The sequence below is a fragment of the Homo sapiens genome, chromosome 12, assembly GCF_000001405.40.
Source record: "Homo sapiens chromosome 12, GRCh38.p14 Primary Assembly".
NCBI lineage: Eukaryota > Metazoa > Chordata > Mammalia > Primates > Hominidae > Homo > Homo sapiens.
This window is the reverse complement of record NC_000012.12, coordinates 50,313,028-50,337,994: the sequence shown is the minus strand read 5'-3', so window position 1 is coordinate 50,337,994 and position 24,967 is coordinate 50,313,028. Positions and strand designations below refer to the sequence as shown.

Genomic DNA, 24,967 nt, shown 5'->3' with positions numbered 1-24,967 from the left:
TGATTCTAGATAGAGGCTTTTAAATAATAAGATACCCCCATGGTTACTACTGGATTGAATGCTCAGATTTTGTTTGTTTATTTGTTTGTTTGTTTGTTTTTAGACGAAGTCTTGCTCTGTCGCCAGGCTGGAATGCAGTGGCGCCATCTTGGCTCACTGGAACCTCCACCTCCCAGTTTCAAGGAATTCTCCTGCCTCAGCCTCCCGAGTAGCTGGGACTACAGGCGCTTGCCACCACGCCCAGCTAATTTTTGTATTTTTAGTAGGGACGGGGTTTCACCGTGTTGGCCAGGATGGTCTCGATCTCTTGACCTTGTGATCCGCCCGCCTCAGCCTCCCAAAGTGCTGGGATGACAGGCGTGAGCCGCCGCGCCCGGCCTTCAGATTATTAAAAATGAATTCTCTCACCAGGCTCATGCCTGTCATCCCAGCACTTTGGGAACCGAGGTGGGCGGATCACTTGGTCCCAGGAGTTAAAGACCAGCCTGGGCAATATGGTAAAACCCCATCTCTACTTAAAAAAAAAAAAAAAAAATTGGCAGGCCTGACGGTGTGCCTATAGTCCCAGCTACCGAGGGGGGCTGAGGTGGGAGGATGGCTTGAGCTCACAAGGTCAAGGCTGCAGTGAGCCAAGATCGCGCCACTGCACTCCAACCTGGGTGACAAAGAGAGACCCTGTCTAAAAAAAAAAAAAAAAAAAAAAAAGAATTATCTCTAAAACTACATCCAACAATAAAGTCCCTAAGTTTGAAGTTAAACTTTTCCAAGCAGTGAAATATGATTTCAATAAGAAAAAATGATAAGGAAATCTCAAAAGCCTGTGTAATTAGACAGAAAAATGTCAGGAAATATTTGGTGTGAAGAGGCTTATTGGAAAATTAAAAAATCTAATATGTTTAAATATTAAATACAAATATAATAATTTAAGTATTAAATGATCCATATATATAGTAGGTTCTAAAGTATTCATTATAACCCACAAAAGAAACCTAAGAGCTAAGAATTATTCTTTCTCTCTTCTCTCTCAATATAGATAGAGATGGATAAATAAAATCTCAGGTAAATCTCACTGATTCACCTGAGGCAATATATATATATACGCATGTATATAAAATACATATATTTAGAAAAATGTCTTTGATGGGTCCCCATCATCTACCAAAAAAAAAAATAAGAGAAGATCCAAACTCCTTAACATACCTTTGAAAGCCTTTCATCTTTCACTATCCAACCATTCCAGTCTCATCCCCCACTATATCCTTTCACATATCTGTGGTCAAAAACCCCAGACTACTCATCACTCTCAAAATATAACTTTCGTTTTCTTACCTTTGTTTATGGGATTTCTCCACCTGGACTTCCTCATCCCCTTCTTCCCTGTTCTGTCCGTAAGCACAATGGTTTTCAAACTTTAGTAAAGTAAGAGTTACCTGAGATTTTAAAATGCAGATTCCTGAAGCCTACCACTAAGATTTTGATTCAAAAGGTATGGAGAAGGACCTTGGAACCTGCATTTTCAACAAGCACCCCACCCGTCTACCCCATATGGTTCAGTCTAGGTGATCAGAGTCCGCACCTTGAGAAATATTGGCATTGTGGAAGAAAGAAGTTCTGGGCTTGCTTCCCAAATCTACCATTTATCAATTATGGGACATTAGAAAAAACACTTAACTTTGCTGAGATTTCTTTTCCTCTTCTGTAGAATGAGGATGGCAAAACTCTGTTTAGGACCACCAAAATGTGGTGGAATACATTATAGGAGGGCAGTAGGGAGAGAGAGAGAAAGGGAGAATCTTTTTATGACTGTCCCTCAAAATTCTGCTTGACACCTTCCTATAAAGCCTTCTTTATTACTCTTTTTTTTTTTTTTGAGATGGAGTCTCACTCTGTCACCCAGGCTGGAGTGCAATGGTGTGGTCTCGGCTCACTGCAACCTCCACCTCCCAGGTTCAAGTGATTCTCCTGCCTCAGCCTCCTGAGTAGCTGGGACTATAGGCGCCCGCCATCACACCGGGCTAATTTTTGTATTTTTTAGTAGAGTCAGGGTTTCACCATGTTGGTCAGTCTGGTCTGGAGCCCCTGACCTCGTGATCTGCCCACCTCGGCCTCCCAAAGTGCTGGGATTACAGGCATGAGCCACTGCGCCCGGCCTTATTACCCTTACTGGAATTAACTATGCTTTCCTTTTTGCTCCTGCAGCCTATTTAGTTAGCATTTATTTCATTCTATTTCTTTTTTTTTACAAGTAACGTAGTGTCCTATTCTGGATTATAAGTGCTTTTGAAGGCAAGGACACTGTCTTTTCCATAATTGTATTAAGTACTTTCTATGTGTCATTTTTTTTTTTTTGAGATAGGATCTCACACTCTGTTGCCCAGGCTGGAGTGCAGTGGCACGATCTCGGCTCACTGCAACCTCTGTTGCTCGGGTTCAAGTGATTCTTCTGCCTCAGCCTCCCAAGTAGCTGGGATTACAGTCACCTGCCACCGCACCTGGCTAATTTTTGTGTTTTTAGAGGAGATGGGGTTTCACCATGTTGGCCAGGCTGCTCTTGAACTCTTGACCTTGTGATCCACCAGCCTTGGCTTCCCAAAGTGCTTGGATTACAGGCGTGAGACACTGTGCCCGGCCTTACCTTCTATGTGTCTTACACATATCTATACATATGAAAAAAATGATCTATCTTATCCCCTAAGGTAATTTTTATTACAAATAGCCACATTTAACTAATTTTTTAAGAGTTGGAGTCTTGCCCTTAACAAAAAGGTGAATGTAATGGCGTGATCATAACTCACTGCAGCCTCGAACTCCCTAGGCTCAAGCAAGCCTCTCACCTCAGCCTCCTGAGTGGCTGTGTCTACAGGTATGTGCCACCATGCCCAGCTATTTTTATTTTGCAGAGACGGAGTCTTACTATATTGCCCAAGCTGGTCACAGACTCCTGGCCTCAAGCGATCCTCCCACCTCAGCCTCCCAAAGTGCTGGGATTACAGGCATGAGCCACTTCACCTGGCATAATTTTTAAAATATATTAAAATAATTGTAAGCAACACTATTTTAACACTGGAAATTTTGTGAAGACTTAATGAAAATTTTGATAATCATATAGATTTTTGAAGGTTCATTCATAGGAACTGGATTAAAGTCTTATTAAGCAAGCTTCCCATCCTTCTCTACTTACTGGGGATGATGAGAGAATTGAAAGAAACTGAGGACAGGTTGGGCATAGTGGCTCACTCCTGTAATCCCAACATTTTGGGAGGCTGTGGCAGGAGGATCGCTTGAGGTCAAGAGTTCAAGACCAGCCTGGACAACATGGCAAAACCCCATCTCTACTAAAAATACAAAAATTAGCTGGGCGTGGTGGTGCACACCTGTATTCCCAGCTACTTGGGAGGCTGAGGCATGAGAATCGCTTGAACCCATGAGGCAGAGGTTGCAGTGAGTCAAGATCACACCACTGCACTCCAGCCTGGGCAACAGAGTGAGACTCTGTCTCAAAAAAATAAAATTAAATTAAAAAGAGGCCATGCTCAGTGGCTCAGGACTGTAATCCCAGCACTTTGGGAGGACAAGGAAAGTGGATCACGAGGTCAGGAGTTTGAGACCAGCCTGACCAACATGGAGAAACCCCGTCTCTACTAAAAATACAAAAATTAGCTGGGCATGGTGGTGCGCACCTGTAGTCCCAGCTACTCAGGAAGCTGAGGCAGGATAATTTCTTGAATCCAGGAGGTGGAGGTTGCAATAAGCCATGATTGCACCATTGCACCTCCAGCCTGGGCAACAAGATCGAAACTCCGTCTCAAAAAAAAAAAAGAAACTGAGGACAAGTTTGTTGAAGTAGGGTCTGCAACTATTATCGCTCTAATTTTTATTAATCTTTTCAAGGAACAACATAATGAAACGACTAAAAGCCATCCAAAATACTGGGAAAGGCTATGAGGCCAGGAACCTCCACATGATGCTGAGCAGACTTGATGACTACGGGAAAAAGGTGATGCAGGTCTGGACTGAGAAGCAGAAGTCTCTAGGGCAGAAACGGAATCAGTGCCTGAAGAAAATGATACACGTATTCAACCAGGTAACCTGCTTTCCACTCCCTCTGTCCAGCATGTTGTAAAAACATGAAAGTGGTAAGCTTTGTAAATGACATTTACCTGGAGACACCATGTCATATTACTTTCCTGGGCTGCTGTAACAAATTACCACAAACTTCATAGCTTAAAACAACAGAAATTTACTCTCTCACAGTTCTAGAGGCCAGAAGTTAGTGAAATCAGGGTGTCTGCCAGGTTGGTTCCTTCTAGAAGCTCTGAGAGGGCATTCTGTTGCATGCTTCTCTCCTAGATTGTGGTGGCTATGGGCAATCCTTAGCATTCCTCAGTTTGTAGCCACATAATTCCAATCTCCGCCTCCATCTTTCAAATGGCCTTTTTTTTTGTTTTGCTTTGTTTTTCGTTTTTTTGAGACAGTCTTGCTCTGTCTCCCAGGGAGTACAGTGGCACTATTTCGACTCGGTGCAAACTCCACCTCCTGGATTCAAGAGATTCTCCTGATTCAGCCTCCCGAGTAGATGGGATTACAGGCGCCCACCACCATGCCCAGCTAAATTTTATATTTTTAGTAGAGATGGGGTTTCACCATGTTGGCCAGGCTGGTTTCGAATTCCTGACCTCAGGTGATCCACCCGCCTCAACCTCCCAAAGTGTTGGGATTACAGGCGTGAGCCACCACGCCTGGCCTGAGTTCTTATAGTAAATATTACAAGCTGTGGTTCTAGAAACATTTTATATCTGTATATCCTTGTCTTTCCTTAAAATCGATTAATTTATAAGATTAGTTTACTTGCTACTTTGGAAGGTACAGAGAGGCTTCTCATCAGAGCCTAATCCAAGTCAAACATATATTGTAAATTTTCAGAACTGTTATATTTTATTTTATTATTTATTTATTTATTTATTTTTGAGATGAGGTCTCACTGTGTCACCCAGGCTGGAGTGCAGTGGCGTGATCTCGGCTCACTGCAACCTCCGCCTCCTGGGTTCAAGTGATTCTCCTGCCTCACCCTCCCGAGTAGTTGGGATTACAGGTGCCTGCCACCATGTCTGGTTAATTTTTGTATTTTTAGTAGAGATGGGGTTTCACCATGTTGGCCAGGCTGGTCTTGGACTCCTGACCTCAAGTGAACCGCCCATGGCAGCCTCCCAAAGTGCTGGGATAGAGGCTTGAGCCACCGTGCCCGGCCCAGAACAGTTATATTTTAAATATTACAGCTCTTTGTCAAAAAAATGAATATTCTCCTTTTTTTGATTTGGCAAATATGGCCAATGTACATAGAGTAAAGCAAGATGGGTTGGCAGCAACATGCGTTATCTAACAGGAATCACAATGCCTAGGGCATTTCAGAGGAGGAATAAGGGTCTGGGGCCAGGGAAGCCAGAATCCAGAGGATGAGGTATGGGTATCAAGGCTTGGAGAAAGGAGACAAAAAAAGCAAAAGGGATAAGAGGTTAGATATGAATGAATACTTTGCACTGAATCAGCATGGTGGTCAAGATGGCTAGCTCCGCTACCAGATTGTCTGGGTTCAAATCAGGCTAGCTACATACTAGCTAAGTGACTTTATGCAAGCCGCTTACATTTTCTGAGCCTCAGATTTTCCTGCTGTAAGACAAGGGTAATTATAAGACATACCGCATAAGGTTGTTATAAATACCAAATCAGCTAATATATGGAAAATGCTTAGTTCAGTGTCTGACATTCACTAAGTATTTAGTAAATGCTGGCTATCATTACAGTTGCATACTGCATCACAATTTATAAAGTGCTTCCATATATACTGTGTTTTACAATTCTCACAACCCTGTGTTATTATCCCTGTTTTAGAAATGAGGAGAAAGAAGTGCAGATAAATTAAGCAACTATCCCAAAGTCTCACAGCAAGAAAATAAGAGGACCAGGACTTAAGCTTAAGTAGGACAAAGGTTTTTATGTAGCAGAGCTGCCACCTCTAAAATGATGCATGTTGGAGGTGGGTGGAGTAGGGAGAGGATTTGCAAATCCATGGAAAAGGAGGAGTCACAGTTTAGTCTAGGGCCAGCTCTGAAGACCCTTCTAAAGATTCTGTCTCTTTTCATGGTTTCCTTTTTCTGATCTATTTTTTTTTATAGCTCAAAAAGATACATGAATTGAATCTTAGTCAACCTATCCCCTTAATCATCGAAGAAAAGCAGATACCTGCCTCTACCACATTTGTTCAAAAGCCATTCTTAAAATTACTAATGGAAGAGGACAGAACCTCTGACATATGCAAGAAATTTAGGTATGTGCTAGAAAGACTGATATTAAACTTTGGACGATATGTGGGACCTAATTTTTTTTTCCCTGCCCAAGAACTTCCCTTTCTCCACAATTATCAAATGGTGCAATGGAGAGTCTAAAGGAGTATTAGGCTGGGCGCGGTGGCTCATGCCTGTAATCCCAGCACTTTGGGAGGCCGAGGCAGGTGACTCATCTGAGGTCGGGAGTTCAAGACCAGCCTGACTAACATGGAGAAACCCCATCTCTACTAAAAAAAGTACAAAATTAGCCCGGCATAGTGGTGCATGCCTGTAATCCCAGCTAGTTGGGAGGCTGAGACAGGAGAATCGCTTGAACCTGGGTGGCAGAGGTTGCGGTGAGCCGAGATCGTGCCATTGCACTCCAGCCTGGGCAACAGCGAAACTCTGTCTCAAAAAAAAAGAGTATTAATTCCCTTAGCTAAATTGGCAAGAGGTTAATTTACATATATTTCTACTTAAATATTTAACATTGGATTGTGAGTTCCTCTAAAAATAAAGCTGATTCTTTCTTACTAAAAAACAAATTCTTTTAAGAATATTTAATAAAGAAACTTAGAAGCATTATCTTCTCTTTTTCTTCTATTTTTTTTTAAGGAGGCAGGAGCTTTGGGAAGGAAGGGGGCAAGTTATGTGGTCTCTCTACGCCATGAAGCTAAAATGGTAGTTTTAAAATGGATTACTAGGTGAAGCCATGCAAATGCAGCTTTGGTAACTCAGCGAATTCTGCTTTTTCATCCATCTCTCTGTCAAAGTGGGCATAGCTAATGCTGGTCAGTGCAAGGGGAAGGCATTATAGGACAAGGTGGCAGTGAAGAGGGGAGAATAAGATATATTTTGATGGGCTATGGAGCTCAGGAGAATTTGGCGTTCCCAATTTATGCTGATTCTGTAGGCAACAAGAGGACCAGACAGAGGCCATCTGGAATGTTGATCTGTCCACTTCAAGCTACCCAATAGCAGAGAAGACATCTATGCATTCACTCTGGGCCCAGCTGGGTGGGTACCCAGATATTCCCAGGCTGCTTCAGTTAGAAGTGCAGTCTACCTTCCGAAAATCTCTTGCATCCCTCCAATCACGGTAAGTTATGGACTGGAAGCACTCTGGTAATTGGGCCTTTGATCATATACCTTTTGGTTCCCTAACTTGACTTTCTCCTGTAGCACCAGGTACATCAACCAAAAGTAATGTTTGGTATGAGGTTAGACTCACACCAGTCATAAAATAGTACAGGTAAATTCAGCATTAGTCTGTTAGTGTTTCTAATCATAGGCCTATAGATGTCACCACTGAATAATGTAAAACAAACAAAAAACCAGTTATAATACCATGAATCTAATCTAACACTAGATAGGTCCACTTTTAATTCCATCCTTGGGGATTTGTTAATAGAAGTACCAGAAAGACCATTGTAGAATGCTTTTCTCCATATTATGATTCAGTGACATGAGCTTAAGTGCAATTATCATATCTAGACCCAAATTGAGTAAATTAGGTGTTTACTTCCTAGGATACACTGAAGAGATGACTCCACATTTCCAAAATCTGTTGAACCAGATTCTCACTTAAACCACTAGAAATTATTCCAGAGGAAATAAGGGCTTTAGAGTCTGCATTAACTCTTTCAGGACAGATAATTATTTAATATTCTAAATCAAGAATTTAGAAAATCGAACTTTTGTTAATCTGCAAGAGTTCACAGGAGCAGTCTGATTTATTTTGGTGAAATCTAAGTCCTCACGTAAGAAGTAGTGTTAGGCCAGGTGTGGTGGCTCATGCCTGTAATCCCAACACTTTGGGAGGCCGAGGCGGGTGGATCGCCTGAGGTCAGGAGTTTCAGACCAACCTGGCCAACATAGTGAAACCCTGTCTCTACTAAAAATACAACATTAGCTGGGCATGATGGTGTACGTCTGTAATCCCAGCTACTCAGAGGCTGAGACAGGAGAATTGCTTGAGCCCAGGAGGTGGAGGTTGCAGTGAGCCCAGATTGTGCCACTGCACTCCAGCCTGGGCAATAGAGTGAGACTCTGTCTCAAAAAAAAAAAAAAAAGTAGTGTTAATTCACAAATTTGTCCAGGTGGCAGACAGCATAAAATAAGACATTTAAAATTCTATAATACAGGAAAATATTAAGAAAAATATTACTATTTGATGTATACAGTATAAAGTCATATATCATGAGCACGAGTTTATGGAAAACAGTTATTAAACCAAATGTAACCATTAAGTTGAATAAGCATGACTCTTAGGTTATAATCAGAAAGCAACATTTTTTCTGGTCTCTGATTTTCCCTTTTATAGCGATTAAATTAATTAATTTAGGTTATTTTGAGAGATAATATTGTTAATTTAATGATTATAGGGCTTTGGGACAAAATATGTAAATTTTTAAGTTTCATTTTCCTTACATTCCATTACTAGCTTCAAGTGTCAGATATCCTTCTGACCTAACCACTTCTTACTCATGCTAAATCCCTGCAGACTCTTATTTCCAGTTTACTATTTTATTTTTATTTATTTATTCATTTTCGAGACGGAGTCTTCCTCTGTCGTCCATGCTAGAGTGCAGTGGTGCAATCTTGGCTCACTGCAACCTCTGCCTCCTGGGTTCAAGTGATTCTCCTGCCTCAGCCTCCCCAAGTAGCTGGGACTACAGGTGCATGCCACCATGCCTAGCTAATTTTTTTTGTATTTTTAGTAGAGATGAGGCTTCACCATGTTGGCCAGGCTGGTCTTGAACTCTTGACCTCAGGTGATCCACCCGCCTTGGCCTCCCAAAAGGTTGGGATTACAGGCGTGAGCCACCGTGCCCGGCCTGGACATGTTTTAAAACCTACTTCGAGGCCAGGAGTGGTGGCTCATGCCTGTAATCCAGCACTTTGAGAGGCTGAGGCAGGTGGATTACTTGAGGCCAGGAGTTTGAGACCAGCCTGGCCAACTTGGTGAAACCCTGTCTCTACTAAAAATACAAAAAATTAGCTGGGCATGGTGGCACACACCTGTAGTCCCAGCTACTCAGGAGGCTGAGGCATGAGAATGGCTTGAGTCTGGGAGGCAGAGGTTGCAGTGAGCCGAGATCGCTCCACTGCACTCCAGCCTGGGCAACAAAGACTCTCTCAAAATAAAAAATAAAATAAAATAAAAAATAAAACCTACTATATGTTTCATTAAACAGTACAGCTTTGAAATTTTTCTATGCTAATAAATATAGAGCTACATCATCATTTTGTTGGTTGTGTGATATTCATTGTAGATCTGTATTTTTGTTTGTTTTTAGAGACGTGGTCGTGCTCTGTCATTCAGGCTAGAGTGCAGTGGCACAATCATAGCTCACTGTAACCTTGAACTTCTGGGGTCAAGTGATCCCCTCCTGCTTTAGTCTCCCAAGTAGCTGGGATTACAGGCACACCTGGCCCATTGTATAGATATATCATAATTTATTGAATTGTTCTCCTACTGATAGAAATTTGGATATTTTTCAACATTGCAAACAATGCTACACCAAATATCTTTGAAGTACTTTGTATATTTATATAATTATTTTCCTACAAAAATTCCATTAAAATAATATTCAGTTTTTTCCAATTGCCTAAGTAATGCATGTTCACTGAAAATTTAAAAAATACAGACAGGTCTATCCTTGGAAATAACAATCATTAATTATCAATATTTAAGCCATGTTCTAACTTTAGGTATAAGAATACTGTCTAATAAGCAATAAGCTATTGCCAAGTCCTTTTCTTCCCGATTTTGGGTCTTCAAGGCATTCTGTCACCTTTATGTAACTTTATATATATGGATTACAGGCCAGGCACAGTGGCTCACACCTGTAATCCCAGCACTTTGGGAGGCCAAGGCGGGTAGATTGCTTGAGCTCAAGAGTTCAAGACCAACCTGGGCAACATGGCAAGACCCCAGTCTGTACCAAAAGTACAAAAAAAACAGCCAGGTGTGGTGGTGTGCACCTGTGGTCCCTGCTACTTGGGAGGCTGAGGTGGGAGGATTGCTTGAGCCCAGGGAGCAGAGGTTGCAGTGAGCTGAGATGGCACCACTGTACTACAGCCTGTGTGACAGTAGGAGACCCTGTCTCAAAAAAAAAAAAAAAAAAAGGATTACATACAGATTTTACTAGTTTATCTTTTTGAGTTCTGGAGGCACTTTTATTTTCCCTATGACTCACCTATATTCCCACAAATGTGTTTAAAGCAATTTATAATGAGGTTAATTTTCTTGTCTCATTTCCAGGGTTAAGAAGATTCCCAAATGACTGTAAAATTAAATACAAGCATGTTGAAAGTACATTTCAGTATCTTTCAGTAAAATGCCTATTTTGTTCTCTTTCATGCGTATATATTGCTTTGTCTTTCCTTTGCTTTTATATTCTCCTTGCAGTTCTTCAGGTTGAACATCTTCATTTCTGGGCTACTACTATGACCACTCAAGAAAGAGTATCTTCTGCTCTACATTACTGGAAACACAAAGGTTCAACAACCCTGGGGTAGGCTGAGTCATGAAAGGGACATCATTATGGGCCCCTAACATGATGGCAAAGTGGCACAGTCTGCCTTTCCCAGTCTAAACCCGAAGATGCCTCAGAAGGAAGAAATAAATGAGTATAATGAAGGAAACTAAAAACCAGCAGACACCCCTGAAGAATTAGAAGGTGGTTATGATTGGTAATGAAGGGAAATCATAATGTTACCAGTAGAGGGTTGTGACTGCAAGTTGTCCAGGTTCTTGGCATTTTGAACAAAGAATTGGGCAAAATGCCCAGCAAAGCAAATAAAGAATGAAGCAACAGAAGAACGAAAGCAGGGATTTATTGAGAACAAAAGTACACTCCACAGTGCAGGAGTGGCCCGAGCAGCTGCTCAAGGACCTGGATACAGAATCTTCTTGGGTCCAAATACCCTCTAGAAGTTGCCTATTGATCACTTCATGCTCACCTCATGTAAATAAAGCGGTAGCCTGCAATCAGTCTGATTGGTTGCAGCAAAAAGCAACCAATCAGAGGCTAGGGTGAAGTTACAAACTTATACTCCTATTTTTTTTTTTTTTTGAGACAGAGTTTCGCTCTTGTTGCCCAGGCTGGAGTGCCATGGTGCGATCTCGGTTCTTGAAATTCTGCCTCCCAGGTTCAAGCGATTCTCCTGCCTCAGCTTCCCGAGTAGCTGGGTTTACAGGCATGCACCACCATGCCTGGCTAATTTTGTATTTTTAGTAGAGACAGTGTTTCTCCATGTTGGTCAGGCGGTTTCGAACTCCCAGCCTGAGGTGATCCACCTGCCTTGCCGTCCCAAAGTGCTGGGATTACAGGCATGAGCCACCACGCCAGGTCTCAAAGTTACACTTTTATGCAAACAAAGACTGGCCTGCAATCAGTCTGATTCATTGAGGGCAGCCAATTTCCCATCTGCCTCACAGAAAAAGGTTAAAGGGAGTAGCCTCTGGTCCTTTTGTTACTTAGGTGTGTGGAAAGTTAGGGGTTTCCTTTTCATTTAGTTCTAGGAAGTTGGCGTGCAGCCTTAGGTTTGCTGCCTCCAGACCCTGTTCTCCTTCCTCAATAACTCTGTACAGCGGAGGGCCAGGCTTCCAACACGGGGATTGTATTAGTCAGGCTTCTCTTAGAGGGACAGAACTAATAGGATATATATAAAGGGGAGTTTATTAAGTATTAACTTACACAATCACAAGGTTGCACAATAAGCTGTCTACAAGCTGAGGAGCAAGGAGAGCCAGTGCAAGTCCCAAAACTGAAGAACTTGGAGTTCAATGTTCAAGGTCAGGAAGCATCCGGCATGGGAGAAAGGTATAGGCTGGGAGGCTAGGCCCGTCTCTCATCTCTCTCCTTTTCACATTTTTCTGCCTGCTTTATATTCACTGGAAGCTGATTAGATTGTGCCCACCCAGTTAAGGGTGGGTCTGCCTTTTCCAGCCCACTGACTCAAATGTTAATCTCCTTTGGCAACATCCTCACAGGCACATGCGGGATCAGTACTTTGCATCCTTCAATCCAATCAAGTTGACACTCAGTATTAACCATCACAAGTCCACCCCTTGTCAACTTGAACACATCTCCTGAGATCATACATAATCTTCAAATAAAAACAATAATATCATAATTACACTTAACATAATATGACTATCCCTTGTACAACCAGAAAGACACCAATCCCCAACCCAAATACTGTTATATAAAGTTAACAATACTTAAATGCTGATATGAAGTCAATAAATCTTATGTCACATGATAAAGGAAAAGGAAATAAAATGAAAATAGTTTCTTAGTACAAGTGTATATACACACAAACATGTTTTTAACAAAAGAAGGAGGAAATACTCATGACAATGACAGTCCTCATTTCTGTAGCTGGTCACATGGTTGTAGCTGGTATTGATGACTATCTTCTTCTACTACCCATTCTGTATTCCCTCTGCCTTCAGCAAACACCTCAGCAGGTCATGGTTTTTTTCCTGGTGGAGTGACCCAAACCTTCATTCTTGAAGGGTCTGGACCATTTGTAGTCCTGCCTGGATTGGGCTGTTGTAGTTTCCCATTGACCTTAATCACAGGGCATGGTAATACTAAGAGATGCCTTAATGGATCTCCTGTATCCATGCATACTCTTCCGTATCTCCATTGTGGAGCAGTAGACTTATATCAGATTTCATCTTGATAGTCCGGGTCAGTCACCCCAGGCAACACTGTAACTCCCTGTTGACTTAAAGGTAGGAGGAGCCCAAAGTGTCCAGGTGGCAATCTTAACTTCCAGTTTAATGGAATCGTTGTTCTGTCTCCTGATGGCAGCGTTCCTCCCTCTGGAACTAAGACCTCTAGGCCCAGCAGAACATAATGTTGTGGGAAGAAGAAGCAAAAATGTTGCTAGTGGATCACTAGGGGTGATGGTGAGTGGTGCCACTTCCACTTCCACCTTGATTCCTGGACCTGTGAGTCTTGGCTATGGGAGAAACAGTCCCATATATTAGATGCTGATTCAGAGCATACATGGCCTTCTGGAGAATTTTGCCCCAGACCTGCAAAGTATTGTCACCTAGTTGGCATTATAATTGTGACTTCAAAAGGCCATTCCACCATGCTATCAATCCAGCTGCTTCAGGATGATGAGGAACATGGTAACACCAGTGAATTCCATGAGCATGAGCCCATTGCTGCACTTCTTTAGCTGTAAAGTGAGTGTCTTGGTCAGAGGCAATGCTGTGTGGGATACCGTGATGGTAGAAAAGGCATTCTGTGAGTCCACAGATGGTAGTCTTGGCGGAAGCACTGCGTGCAAGATAGGCAAACCCATATCCGGAGTAAGTGTCTATTCCAGTGAGGACAAACCTCTGCCCTTCCTATGATGGAAGCAGTCCAATATAATCAAACTGCCACCAGGTAGCTGGCTGATCACCTGGAGGAATGGTGTCATATCGAGGGCTCAGTGTTGGTCTCTGCTGCTGGCAAATTGGGCACTCAGCAGTGGCCATAGCCAGGTCAGCCTTGGTGAGTGGAAGTCCATGTTGCGGAGCCCACGCATAACCTCCAGTCCTGCCACCATGGCCACTTTTTTCATGGGCCCATTGGGGGATAATAGGGGTGGCTGGGGAAAGAGGCTGAGTGGTGTCCACAGAACGGATCATCCTATCCACTTGATTATTTAATTCCTCCTCTGCTAAGGTCACCCACTGGTGGGCACTCACATGGAATGCAAATATCATCACAGTTTGTGACCACTCAGAGAGGTCCATCCACATATCTCTTCCCCAAATTTTTTTTTTTTTTTTGAGACAGAGTCTTGCTCTGTCACCCAGGCTGGAGGGCAATCTCGGCTCAGTGCAAACTCCGCCTCCCAGGTTCATGCCATTCTCCTGCCTCAGCCTCCCGAGTAGCTGGGACTACAGGTGCCTGCCACCTAGCCCGGCTAATTTTTTGTATTTTTAGTAGAGATGGGGTTTCACTGTGTTAGCCAGGATGGTCTCAATCTCCTGACCTCGTGATCCACCCACTTCGGCCTCCCAAAGTGCTGGGATTACAGGTGTGAGCCACCATGCCCAGCCTCAAATTTCTTTGTCACCAATGTTCCAATCATTCTTCTCCCAAGTCCCTGACCATCCAGCCAAACCATTGGCCAAAGCCCATGAATCAGTATATAATCACACATCTGGCCATTTCTCCTTCCATGCAAAGTGCACAACTAGGCGCACTGCTCAAAGTTCTGCCGACTGGGAAGGTTTCCCTTCACTGCTCTCCTTCAGGGATGTCCTAGAAAGGGGCTATAGTGCTGCAGCTGTCCACTTTCAGGTGGTACCTGCATATTGTGTAGAACCATCTGGAACCAGGCCCTAGTCTTCTCTTCCTCTGTCAACTGATCATAGAGAACTCCCCATGAGGCCATCGGTGCAGGCTGGGGAAGAGAAGGCAGGGTGGCAGAAGTGGAGACCATGGGCATTTGAGCCACTTCCTCATGTAACTTGTGCCTTCAGGACCTGCTCGAGCCCGATCATGTATATACCACTTCCATATGATGACAGAATGCTGCTGTGCATGACCCATTTTAAAGCTGGATGGGTCAGAAAGCACCCAGTTCATGATAGGCAGTTCAGGTCGCATGGTGACTTGATGACCCATAGTCAAATGTTCAGTTTCCACCAAAGCCCAGTAGCAGGCCAAGAGCTGTCTCTCAAAATGAAAGTAGTTATCTACAGAAGATGGCAGGGCCTTATTCCAAAATCCTACAGACCTCCGCTGTGATTCACCCATGGGGGCCTGCCAAAGGCTCCAAACAGCATCCCTATCTGCCACGGACACCTCAAGCACCATTGGATCTGCTGGGTCATATGGCCCAAATGGCAGAGTAGCTTGCACAGCAAAATGGACCTGTTGCAGAGCCTTCTCCTGTTCTGGAACCCACTCAAAACTGGCAGCCTTTCAGGTCAGTCAATAAATGGGCCGGAGTAACACACCCAAATGAGGAATGTGTTGCCCCCAAAATCCAAATAGGCCCACTAGGCATTGTGACTCTTTCTTGGTTGTAGGAGGGGCAAATGCAACAACTTATCCTTCACTTTAGAAGGAATATCTTGACAGACCCCACACCACTGGACCCCTAGAAATTTTACGGAGGTAGAAGGTCCCTGAGTTTTAGTCTGATTTATTTCCCATCTCAGCCTCCCAAAGTGCTGGGTGTGAGTCACCACGCCCGGCATCTCACCCAGTCTTATGGCTTTAAATACCATATACATGCTGATGACTCCAAATGTATATCTCAGCTCTGACTTTGCCTCTGAGCTTTGCCCCTGAATTCTAGTGCTATATATCCAACTATCTACTTGATATCTCCACTTGGCTGAGCTCCTGATGGTCAGCACCAAGCCTATTTCTTATGCTTTGTCCCTGATATACTTTTTGCCTTGATTTCTAGTTTGAATTCATCTGATAGGAAATAGCTACCTGGTTTGTTCCTGGTATGTGAGTGTGTGTTCATATTAGGATGAAATGTCTATTTATATCTTTTTTTTTTTTTTGAGACGGAGTCTTGCTCTGTCACCCAAGCTGGAGTGCAGTGGCACAATCTGGGCTCACTGCAACCTCCGCCTCCTGGGTTCAAGTGATTCTTCTGCCTCAGCCTCCTGAGTAGCGGGGTTTACAGGTGCACACCACCATGCCTGGCTAATTTTTGTATTTTTGGTAGAAACGGGGTTTCACCATGTTGGTCAGGCTGGTCTCGAACTCCTGACCTCGTGATCCGCCCGCATCGGCCTCCCAAAGTGCTGGTATTATTTACTTCTTTTTACTTACAACTTGCCCATATACTTTCATTTTAAGCGTATCTCATAGTATAGAGATAGTGTATTGCTAGACCTCAATTTTTAAATCCAGTCTGAGATCCAATCTGAGTTTCTGCTTTCTTATTGATCAACATAACGGATTAATATTTATCGTAATTTCAGTCATATTGGGACTTATTTTTGTTATCTTATTTATAAAGATTAGTAAGATAAAAAAGTCTCTAAGATTTCTTTTTTTTTTTTTTTTTGAGACAGAGTCTCACTCTGTCGCCCAGGTTGGAGTGCAGTGGCACAATCTCGGGCTTACTGCAACCTCCGCCTCCCGGGTCCAAGCGATTCTCCTGCCTCAGCCTCCCAAGTAGCTGGGGTTACAGGCGCGTGCCACCATGCCCAGCTAATTTTTTGTATTTTTAGTAGAGATGGGGTTTCACCGTGTTAGCCAGGATGGTCTCAATCTCCTGACCTCATGATCCGCTCGCCTCGCCTTGGCCTCCCAAAATGCTGGGATTACAGGCATGAGCCACTGCGCCTGGCCTAAAAAATCTCTAAGATTTCTTAAGAAAGAAAGATGATGGCCGGGCACGGTGGCTCATGCCTGTAATCCCAGCACTTTGGGAGGCCAAGGTGGGAGGATCACCTGAGGTCGGGAGTTCGAGGCCAGCCTGACCAACATGGAGAAACCCCGTCTCTACTAAATATACAAAATTAGCCGGGTGTGGTTGTGCATGCCTGTAATCCCAGCTAGGGGAGCCGAGATTGCGCCATTGCACTCTAGCCTGGGCAACAAGAGCGAAACTCCATCTCAAAAAAAAAAAAGAAGAAGGAAAATAATCAAATTACATAATGAAATTAAGAGAACTACTACAGATACAACAGAAATAGAAAACCATATGATGGTCAATTATAGACTAATACATTTAATAATAAATGAATTAGATCGTTTTTGGTAAGAAGAAGAATAAGAAAAAACAAAAATAAAAATAAATAGATGGTTTTTAGAAAATATAAAATGTCAAAATTGGGAAAATAAATTAAGTATGAACAGATAAATATCTATAAATAAATTGGTAATTAAAGACCTTATCCAAAGAAAAAAGCTTTAGGCGGATCAGGTTTTACAGTGAGTTTTACCAAGACTTCAAAGAACAAATAATCCTTTTAACAAATAAGTTTTTCTAGAAAAGAGGAGAAGCTGCTTTACTCTTTATTTCAAAATCAGATTAAGACCATATAAGAAAAGAGAATCATATACTCAAGTTACTGGCTGGGTGCGGTGGCTCACGCCTGTTATCCCAGTACTTTGGGAGGCCTAGGCGGGTGGATCACTTGAGGCCAAAAGTTCAAGACCAGCCTGGCCAACATTGTCTTTATGACCAGGCTGGCCAAACTCTGTCTCTATGAAAAATACAAAACAAAATTAGCTACTCAGGAGGCAAAGCACAAAAATCGCTTGAACGTGGGAGGCGGAGGTTGCAGTCAACTGAAATCTTGCCACTGCACTCCAACCTGGGAGACAGAGCGAGACTCTATTTAAAACAATAAATAAATAAACTGAAGTCACCGATGGAAATAGATTTTTTAAAAAGATGCACATAAATATCCAACTGAACCCAACAATTAAGGTTTTCTTCCAGGAATACAAGAATGGCTTAACATGAGACAACTATCTATCTAATTAACTGGATCTATGAATTAAAGAAGGAAAATCACATGATCATCCCAAGAGGTACAGAATAAAAACATCTAATAAACATTTACGTTTTAAAATTCTTTATAAATGGCCAACACAGTGAAACCCCGTCTCTACTAAAAATACAAAAAATTAGCCAGGCGTAGTGGTGGGCACCTGTAATTCTAGCTACTCGGGAGGCTGAGGCAGGAGAATTGCTTGAACCTGGGAGGAGGAGGTTGCAGTGAGCCGAGATCGTGCAATTGCACTCCAGCCAGGGCAACAAGAGTGAAACTGTCTCAAAAAAAAAAAAAAAAAAGAAAAATCTTTAGAAAAACAGAAATATTACTATATATAGCACAATACCTTTATCCTGAAAATTTTTTAACTTTGTGAAATGACACAAAAAAAGATCTTAAAAAAAAAAAAAAAAGGTCGGGCATGGTGGCTCACACCTGTAATCCCAGAACCTTGGGAGGCCGAGGTGGGTGGATCACCTGAGGTCAGGAGTTTGAGACCAGCCTAACCAATATGATGAAACCTCGTCTCTATTAAAAATACAAAAATTAGCCCGGTGTGGTGGCATGCGCCTGTAATCCCAGGCGCCAATCTGCAGTGAGCAGAGATGGCACCATTTCACTCCAGCCTGGGCAACAAGAGCAAAACTCCATCTCAAACAAAAAAGCAAAAAAACAAAAAAAAACACACATACAAAAACTACATTCTTAGATAAGACACCTTATCTTAGTAAAGATAATGATTCTCCCCAAATTAATCTATAAATTCAAATATATTAAATATATAGAAAATGGACTTTTTTTTCTTTTTTTCAGACAGACTGTCACTCTGTCACCTAGGTTGGAGTGCAGTGGTGTGATCTCGTCTCACTGCAACCTCTGCTTCCCAGGTTCAAGTGATTCTCCAGCCTTAGCCTCCTGAGTAGCTGGGATTAGTGTATATTTAGTAGAGACAGGGTTTCATCATGTTGGTCAGGCCAGTCTCCAACTCCTGGCCTCAAGTGATCAGCCTGCCTCGGCCTCCCAAAGTGCTGGGATTACAGGCGTGAGCCAGAAAATGTTTTTAAATGTTAAAAATGTTAGCTGGAACTTTTTCTAGCTGTGACAAACTCTTTCTAAAGTGATTACGGAAAAGTAGTCAATGAAAAGATAAGTCAATTTCAAAAAAGGAGGTTAAAAGGGGAATAATAGGCCAGGTGTGGTGGCTCACACCTGTAATCCCAGCACTTTGGGAGGCTGAGACAGGCGGATCATGAGGTCAGGAGTTCGAGACCAGCCTGGCCAACATGGTGACTCTACTAAAAATACAAAAATTAGCCGGGCATGGTGGTATGTGCCTGGAATCCCAGCTACTCAGGAGGCTGAGGTTGCAGTGAACTGAGATCGTGCCATTACATTCCAGCCTGGGCAATAGAGTGAGACTCTGTCTCAAAAACAACAACAACAACAAAAAACAGGGGGGTGATAATAACAACTATTAAGACCTAACACACTATAGAAATTTTTTAAAACCCAGTGAGATAGACACAAGGACAAATAAACCAATGGAACAGATAGAAAATTCAGGATAGATCCATGATACATAGAACTTCACATGAAAAAGGTGGCATCATAAAGGTGGCAAAGGCGTCTTTATGACAAAAAGCCAGATTGTTTAGAAATTATGTGGATAGGCCGGGTGCAGTGGCTCATGCCTGTAATCCCAGAACTTTGGGAGGCCAAGGCAGGTGGATCGCCTGAGGTCAGGAGTTCAAGACCAGCCTGGCCAACATGGTGAAACCCCATCTCCACTAAAAACACAAAAATTAGCTGGGTGTGGTGGCTCATGCCTGTAATCTCAGCTACTTGAGAGGCTGAGGCTTGAGGATCCGGGAGGCAGAGGTTGCAGTGAGCCAAGATCGTGCCACTGCACTCTAGCCTGGGTGATAGAGCATGACTCTGTTGCAAAAAAAAGAAAAAAGAAAAGAAATTATGTTGATAAAACTGGTTTGTAATATGAAGAAAATTAAGTTAGAGCCTTACCTCACACTAAAGGTGAATTTCAGATGGATTAAAGCTATAAAGAACCAGGCCAGGCACGGTGGCTCACACCTGTAATCCCAGCAATTTTGGAGGCCGAGGCAGACAAATCACCTGAGGTCCGGAGTTGGAGACCAGCCTGGCCAACATGATGAAACCCCGTCTCTACTAAAAATACAAAAAATTAGCTGGGTGTGGTGGCAGGTGCCTGTAATCCCAGCTACTCTGGAGGCTGAGGCAGGAGAATCGCTTGAACCCAGGAGGCAGAGGTTGCAGTGAGCCGACATCATGCCATTGAACTCCAGCCTGGGCAACATGAGTGAAACTCCATCTCAAAAAAAAAAAAAAAGAAAAAAGATATAAAGAAACAGAGGGGCACAGTGGCGTGAGCCTGTAATCCCAACACTTTGGGAGGCTGAAAGGGAAGGATCACTTGAACCCAGGAGTTTGAGACCAGCCTGGTAAACATGGTGAGACCCCATCTCTCTTAAAAAGAAAAAAATTAAATTTAAAAATATATATAAAGGAAAAAGTAAACCACAAAGCTAATGGAAGATAATGAATTCTTATCCATGGGTAAAAAAAGTATAATATGTTTGTGACTTAGCATGAGAGCATGAGGAAAGGTTTCTTAAACAAGATACCAAAATACAAAATTTAAGGCTGAAAGTTAATGAATTATTTACTAGCATGGCAAATTTAAGAGGTGGTTAATACCAAATCTTAGCATGAATTTGGGAGGAGACTGACCTCTTGTGCACTGCAAAAGGAACTGTAAACTATCTTAATTGTTCTGGAAATACTCTGGATGTGCTTGGTAAAGTTAAGTGTGTGTGTGTGTGTGTGTGCTCTGTCACCCCAAGATCCCATCTCCTGGGTATATGTCCTAGAAAAATTGTCATGTGGCTTACCACAGTAACACATACAAGCGTTTATCCAGCTCTCCCAATGATAGCAGGGAAGTGGAAGCAACCCAGGTGTTTTTTGTTTGTTTGTTTGTTTGTTTGTTTGTTTGTTTTTTGAAAGAGGGTCTCGCTCTGTCTCCCAGGCTGGAGTGCAATGGCACAGTTTCGGCTCACTGCAGCCTTGACCTCCTGGCGATCCTCCCACCTCAGCCTCTTGAATAGCTGGGACTACAGGCATGCACAAGCACACTGGGCTAATTTTTTTATTTTTTTGTGGAGACAGTATTTCACCATGTTGCCCAGGCTGGTCTCAAAGTCCTGGGCTCAAGTGATCCACCCACCTCAGCCTCCCAAAGTGCTGGGATTACAGGTGTGAGCCACCGTGCCTGGCCCAGCCCAAGTGTTTTTTGTTTTGTTTTTGTTTTTTGGTTTTTTTTTTTTTGAGACGAAGTCTCACTCTGTTGCCCAGGCTGGAGTGCAGTGGTGTGATCTCTGCTCACTGCAACCTCCACCTCCCAGGTTCAAGTGATTCTCCTGTCTCAGCCTCCCAAACAGCTGGGACTACAGGCACGTGCCACCATGCCTGGCTAATTTTTTGTATTTTTAGAGAGACGGGGTTTCACCACATTAGTCAGGATGGTCTCCATCTCCTGACCTCATGATCCGCCCACCTCGGCCTCCCAAAGTGCTGGGATTACAGGCATAAGCCACTGTGCCCGGTTGTCTTTTTTTTTTTTTTTTGAGACAGAGTGTCACTCTGTCGCTCAGGCTGGAGTGCAGTGGCGTGATCTTGGCTCACTGCAACCTCCGCCTCCTGGGTTCAAGTGATTCTCCTGCCTCAGCCTCCTGAGTAGCTGGGTTTACAGGCGTGCACCAACTCCTGGCCTCAAGTGAGGAGGATTTTTGTATTTTTGTATTTTTAGTAGAGACAGGGTTTCGCCATGTTGGTCAGGCTGGTCTCGAACTCCTGACATTGTAATCTGCCCACTTCAGCCTCCCAAAGTGCTGGCATTACAGGTGTGAGCCACCGCATCCGGCCAGCCCAAGTGTTTTAACCAACCAAGAATGGGTACCTAAAATAGGTGGATGCAAACTGTGAGAGAAATGTAACAACTAAAAGTAACAAACTAGGTGTACATATGGAGCACAGATGTAAACACAAATGCTAAATGAAAACAGGCTGGGCGCGGTGGTTCACGCCTATAATCCCAGCACTTTGGGAGGCCGTTTGAGTCCAGGAGTTCGAGACCAGCCTGGATAACGTGGCGAGATCCTGTCTTTACAAAAAATAAAAAAACTAAGCCGGACTTGGTGGCGCTTGCCTGAAATCCCAGCTATTTGGCAGGCTGAGGTGAAAGGATCACTTGAGCCTGTGAAGAGGGGATTGCAGTCAGCCATGATTGTACCAATGCACTCCAGCCTGGGTGATAGAGCAAGGCCCTGTCTTAAAAAAAAAAAAAAAAAAAAAAGGAAAAGAAAAAAGGATATTTAAAGCACAATACTATTTATACATATTAAATAGAAAGGCCAAGTGTGGTGACTCACGCCTGTAATCCCACCACTTTGGGAAGCCAAGGCAGGCAGATCACCTGAGATCAGGAGTTCCAGACCAGCCTGGCCAACATGATGAAAACCCGTCTCTACTAAAAACACAAAATTAGCCGGGTGTGGTGTCACACGCCTATAATCCCAGCTACTTGGGAGGCTGAGCCAGGAGAATGGCTTGAATCTGGGAGGGAGAGGTGGCAGTGAGCCGAGATTGTGCCACTGCACTCCAGCCTGGGTGACAGAGTGAGACTCAGTTTCAAAAAAAAAAAAAAAAGAAAGAAAGAAATACACCTTCTGGGTTCCGGTGACTCGTCCCAATCTCTTCCTAAAAACTATACAGAGCAAAAAGGACAGCAAATAAAAATTCCTACAACATATATTGACCAGCAAAAAAGATTGCTACAATCCGCAATATACATACAAGTTGGAAAAAATACCCTGGAAACCAGCCAGAACCCCCACAAGTGTGTAGACATCACTGGAGCTGCTTGAAAGAGTAGGGAATATGGAGGGTCTTAAACATTAATGGAACCTGATAACATCAACAAGTTTCACTCCCAGAAAAAGGTGCCCGACCCTTAGTGGGAACAGCCAAGAACTGGTCTGAAACCTGGCGTATCAGCACTGGCAACAGGAGTCATAAGGCTTGGAGAATTCATAGGAACAACAGTGGCAGTCTTGCGAAAGTGTGTCATTCGGGATAAAGAGGCACTTTGGAAAATAAAATAAATATTCCTGGTAATAAGTATCCCACTGAAAAAAACACTAGGAAAATCAGAGAGTTTGACTACAAGAAAGGCACACTATGACAACAGGAGAGGGAGCTCTTGAGCTAAAAAACCAAACCAGGAAAGACCCTCAAAACACATTCTCTTCTAAAGATCCATCTATTAAAAGCTGGTCCAGGCTGGGTGCAGTGGCTCAAGCTTGTAATCCCAGCACTTTGGGAGGCAGAGGTTGGGGGGGATCACCTGAGGATGGGAGTTCGAGACCAGCCTGACCAACATGGAGAAACCCCATCTCCACTAAAAATACAAAATTAGCTGGGCGTGGTGGTGCATGCCTGTAATCCCAGCTACTGGGGAGGCTGAGGCAGGAGAATCCCTTGAACCCGGGAGGCGGAGGTTGCAGTGAGCCAAGATCACACCATTGCACTCCAGCCTGGGCAACAAGAGTGAAACTCTGTCTCAAAAAAAAAAAAGCTGGTCCAGAAAAATCCAACATATTCAAATACGAGGCCAGGCATGGTGGCGTACACCTGTAATCCTAGCACTTTGGGAGGCCCAGGTGGGAGGATCACTTGAGGCCAGGAGTTTCAGACCAGCCTGGCCAACATGGTGAAACCCTGTCTCTACTAAAAATACAAAATTAGCCAAGTGTGGTAGCGGGTGCCTGTAATCCCAGCTACTTGGGAGGCTGAGGCATGAGAATCGCCTGAACCGAGAGATGGAGGTTGCAGTGAGCCAAGATCGCTGCCACTGCACTCCAGCCTGGGTGACAGAGCAAGACTGTCTCAGAAATAAACAAATAATAAATAAACTCAAATATGAATAATAATCACAACCAAAATTCAGTATCCCGGCCGGGCGTGGTGGCTCACGCCTCTAATCCCAGTGCTTTGGGAGGCTGAGGCCAGTGGATCACCTGAGGTCAGGAGTTTGAGACCAGCCTGGCCAACATGTTGAAACTCCATCTCTACAAAAAAATACAAAAAAATCATCCTGGTGTGGCAACACACACCTGTAATCCCAGCTACTCAGGAGGCTGAGGCAGGAGAATCGCTTGAACCTGGGAGGTGAAGGTTGCAGTGAGCTGAGATTGCACCACTGCACTCCAGCCTGGGTGACAGAGCAAGACTCTGTCTCAAAAAAAAAAAAAAGGAAAACAAACCAACAAAAAAATTCAGTATCCATACAAAGTTACAGTAAGAACAAAACCCCACAGAAACAAGAATCATAAGTTATGACAGGTGAAACTATACCAGAAAAAAATACTATCCCAAAACAGAAACCAAGACAAACTACAGGATACATAAGTGTAGTGGATGCTATGGTATGTTCCCTAAATACCCACTTCGGGACTGGAGCACTCATACTTCAAGTTGCTGGTAATGGTGGCTGAATCCTTCTCTGGGACTCAAAGGGAATCCCTCCACCCAAGGCAACACCCTGTCCCAAAGATCCATCTGCATGTAGTGACAGGTCCATGCCAAGATATAGAAGCCCTTGCCTCAGGGTGAGACAACTCTGACAGGGGATTCTGACTTGAAAGCTCCCCACGGGATTGGCTGAGATCTTTATTGCAACTGCATCATGGTCAGCGGTGTGCTGGAACTGGCTCCTACTGGCTTGTGAGAACCAATTGTTACGGTTTTAGGAATTTTGCAAGCAGGTTGTTAAACACAGCCATTATTAAAACTTAAATTACATATACTTAAAACTAAATAATATTCAAAACCAAGGTAATAAACACTCAATACATATTACTTTCTAATTATTTTACTACATGTACTATTATCTGTTCTTTAGAGATTGTCTATATATACCTGAAGGGGTGCTACTATGCATTTTTATTTTATTTTATTTTATTTTATTTTGAGATGGGTTCTTGCTTTGTTGCCCAGGATAGAGTGCAGTGGCACAATCATGGCTCACGCAATCCCCTCCTCCCAGGCT

General features: G+C 43.3%; 1 protein-coding gene across 1 annotated transcript in view; it reads left to right on the top strand.

Moving 5' to 3' along the window:
• The window catches only part of FAM186A (family with sequence similarity 186 member A), a 69,301-nt gene extending 58,615 nt beyond the window's left edge, over positions 1–10,686 (top strand). The window contains exons 5-8 of the mRNA NM_001145475.3: positions 3,892–4,084; positions 6,174–6,325; positions 7,237–7,422; positions 10,591–10,686. Of these exons, the coding sequence (NP_001138947.1) occupies positions 3,892–4,084; positions 6,174–6,325; positions 7,237–7,422; positions 10,591–10,612 (553 nt within the window). The 3' untranslated portion in view covers positions 10,613–10,686. The remainder of the gene's footprint in view (positions 1–3,891; positions 4,085–6,173; positions 6,326–7,236; positions 7,423–10,590) is intronic.
• The last annotated feature ends 14,281 nt before the right edge of the window (positions 10,687–24,967 follow it).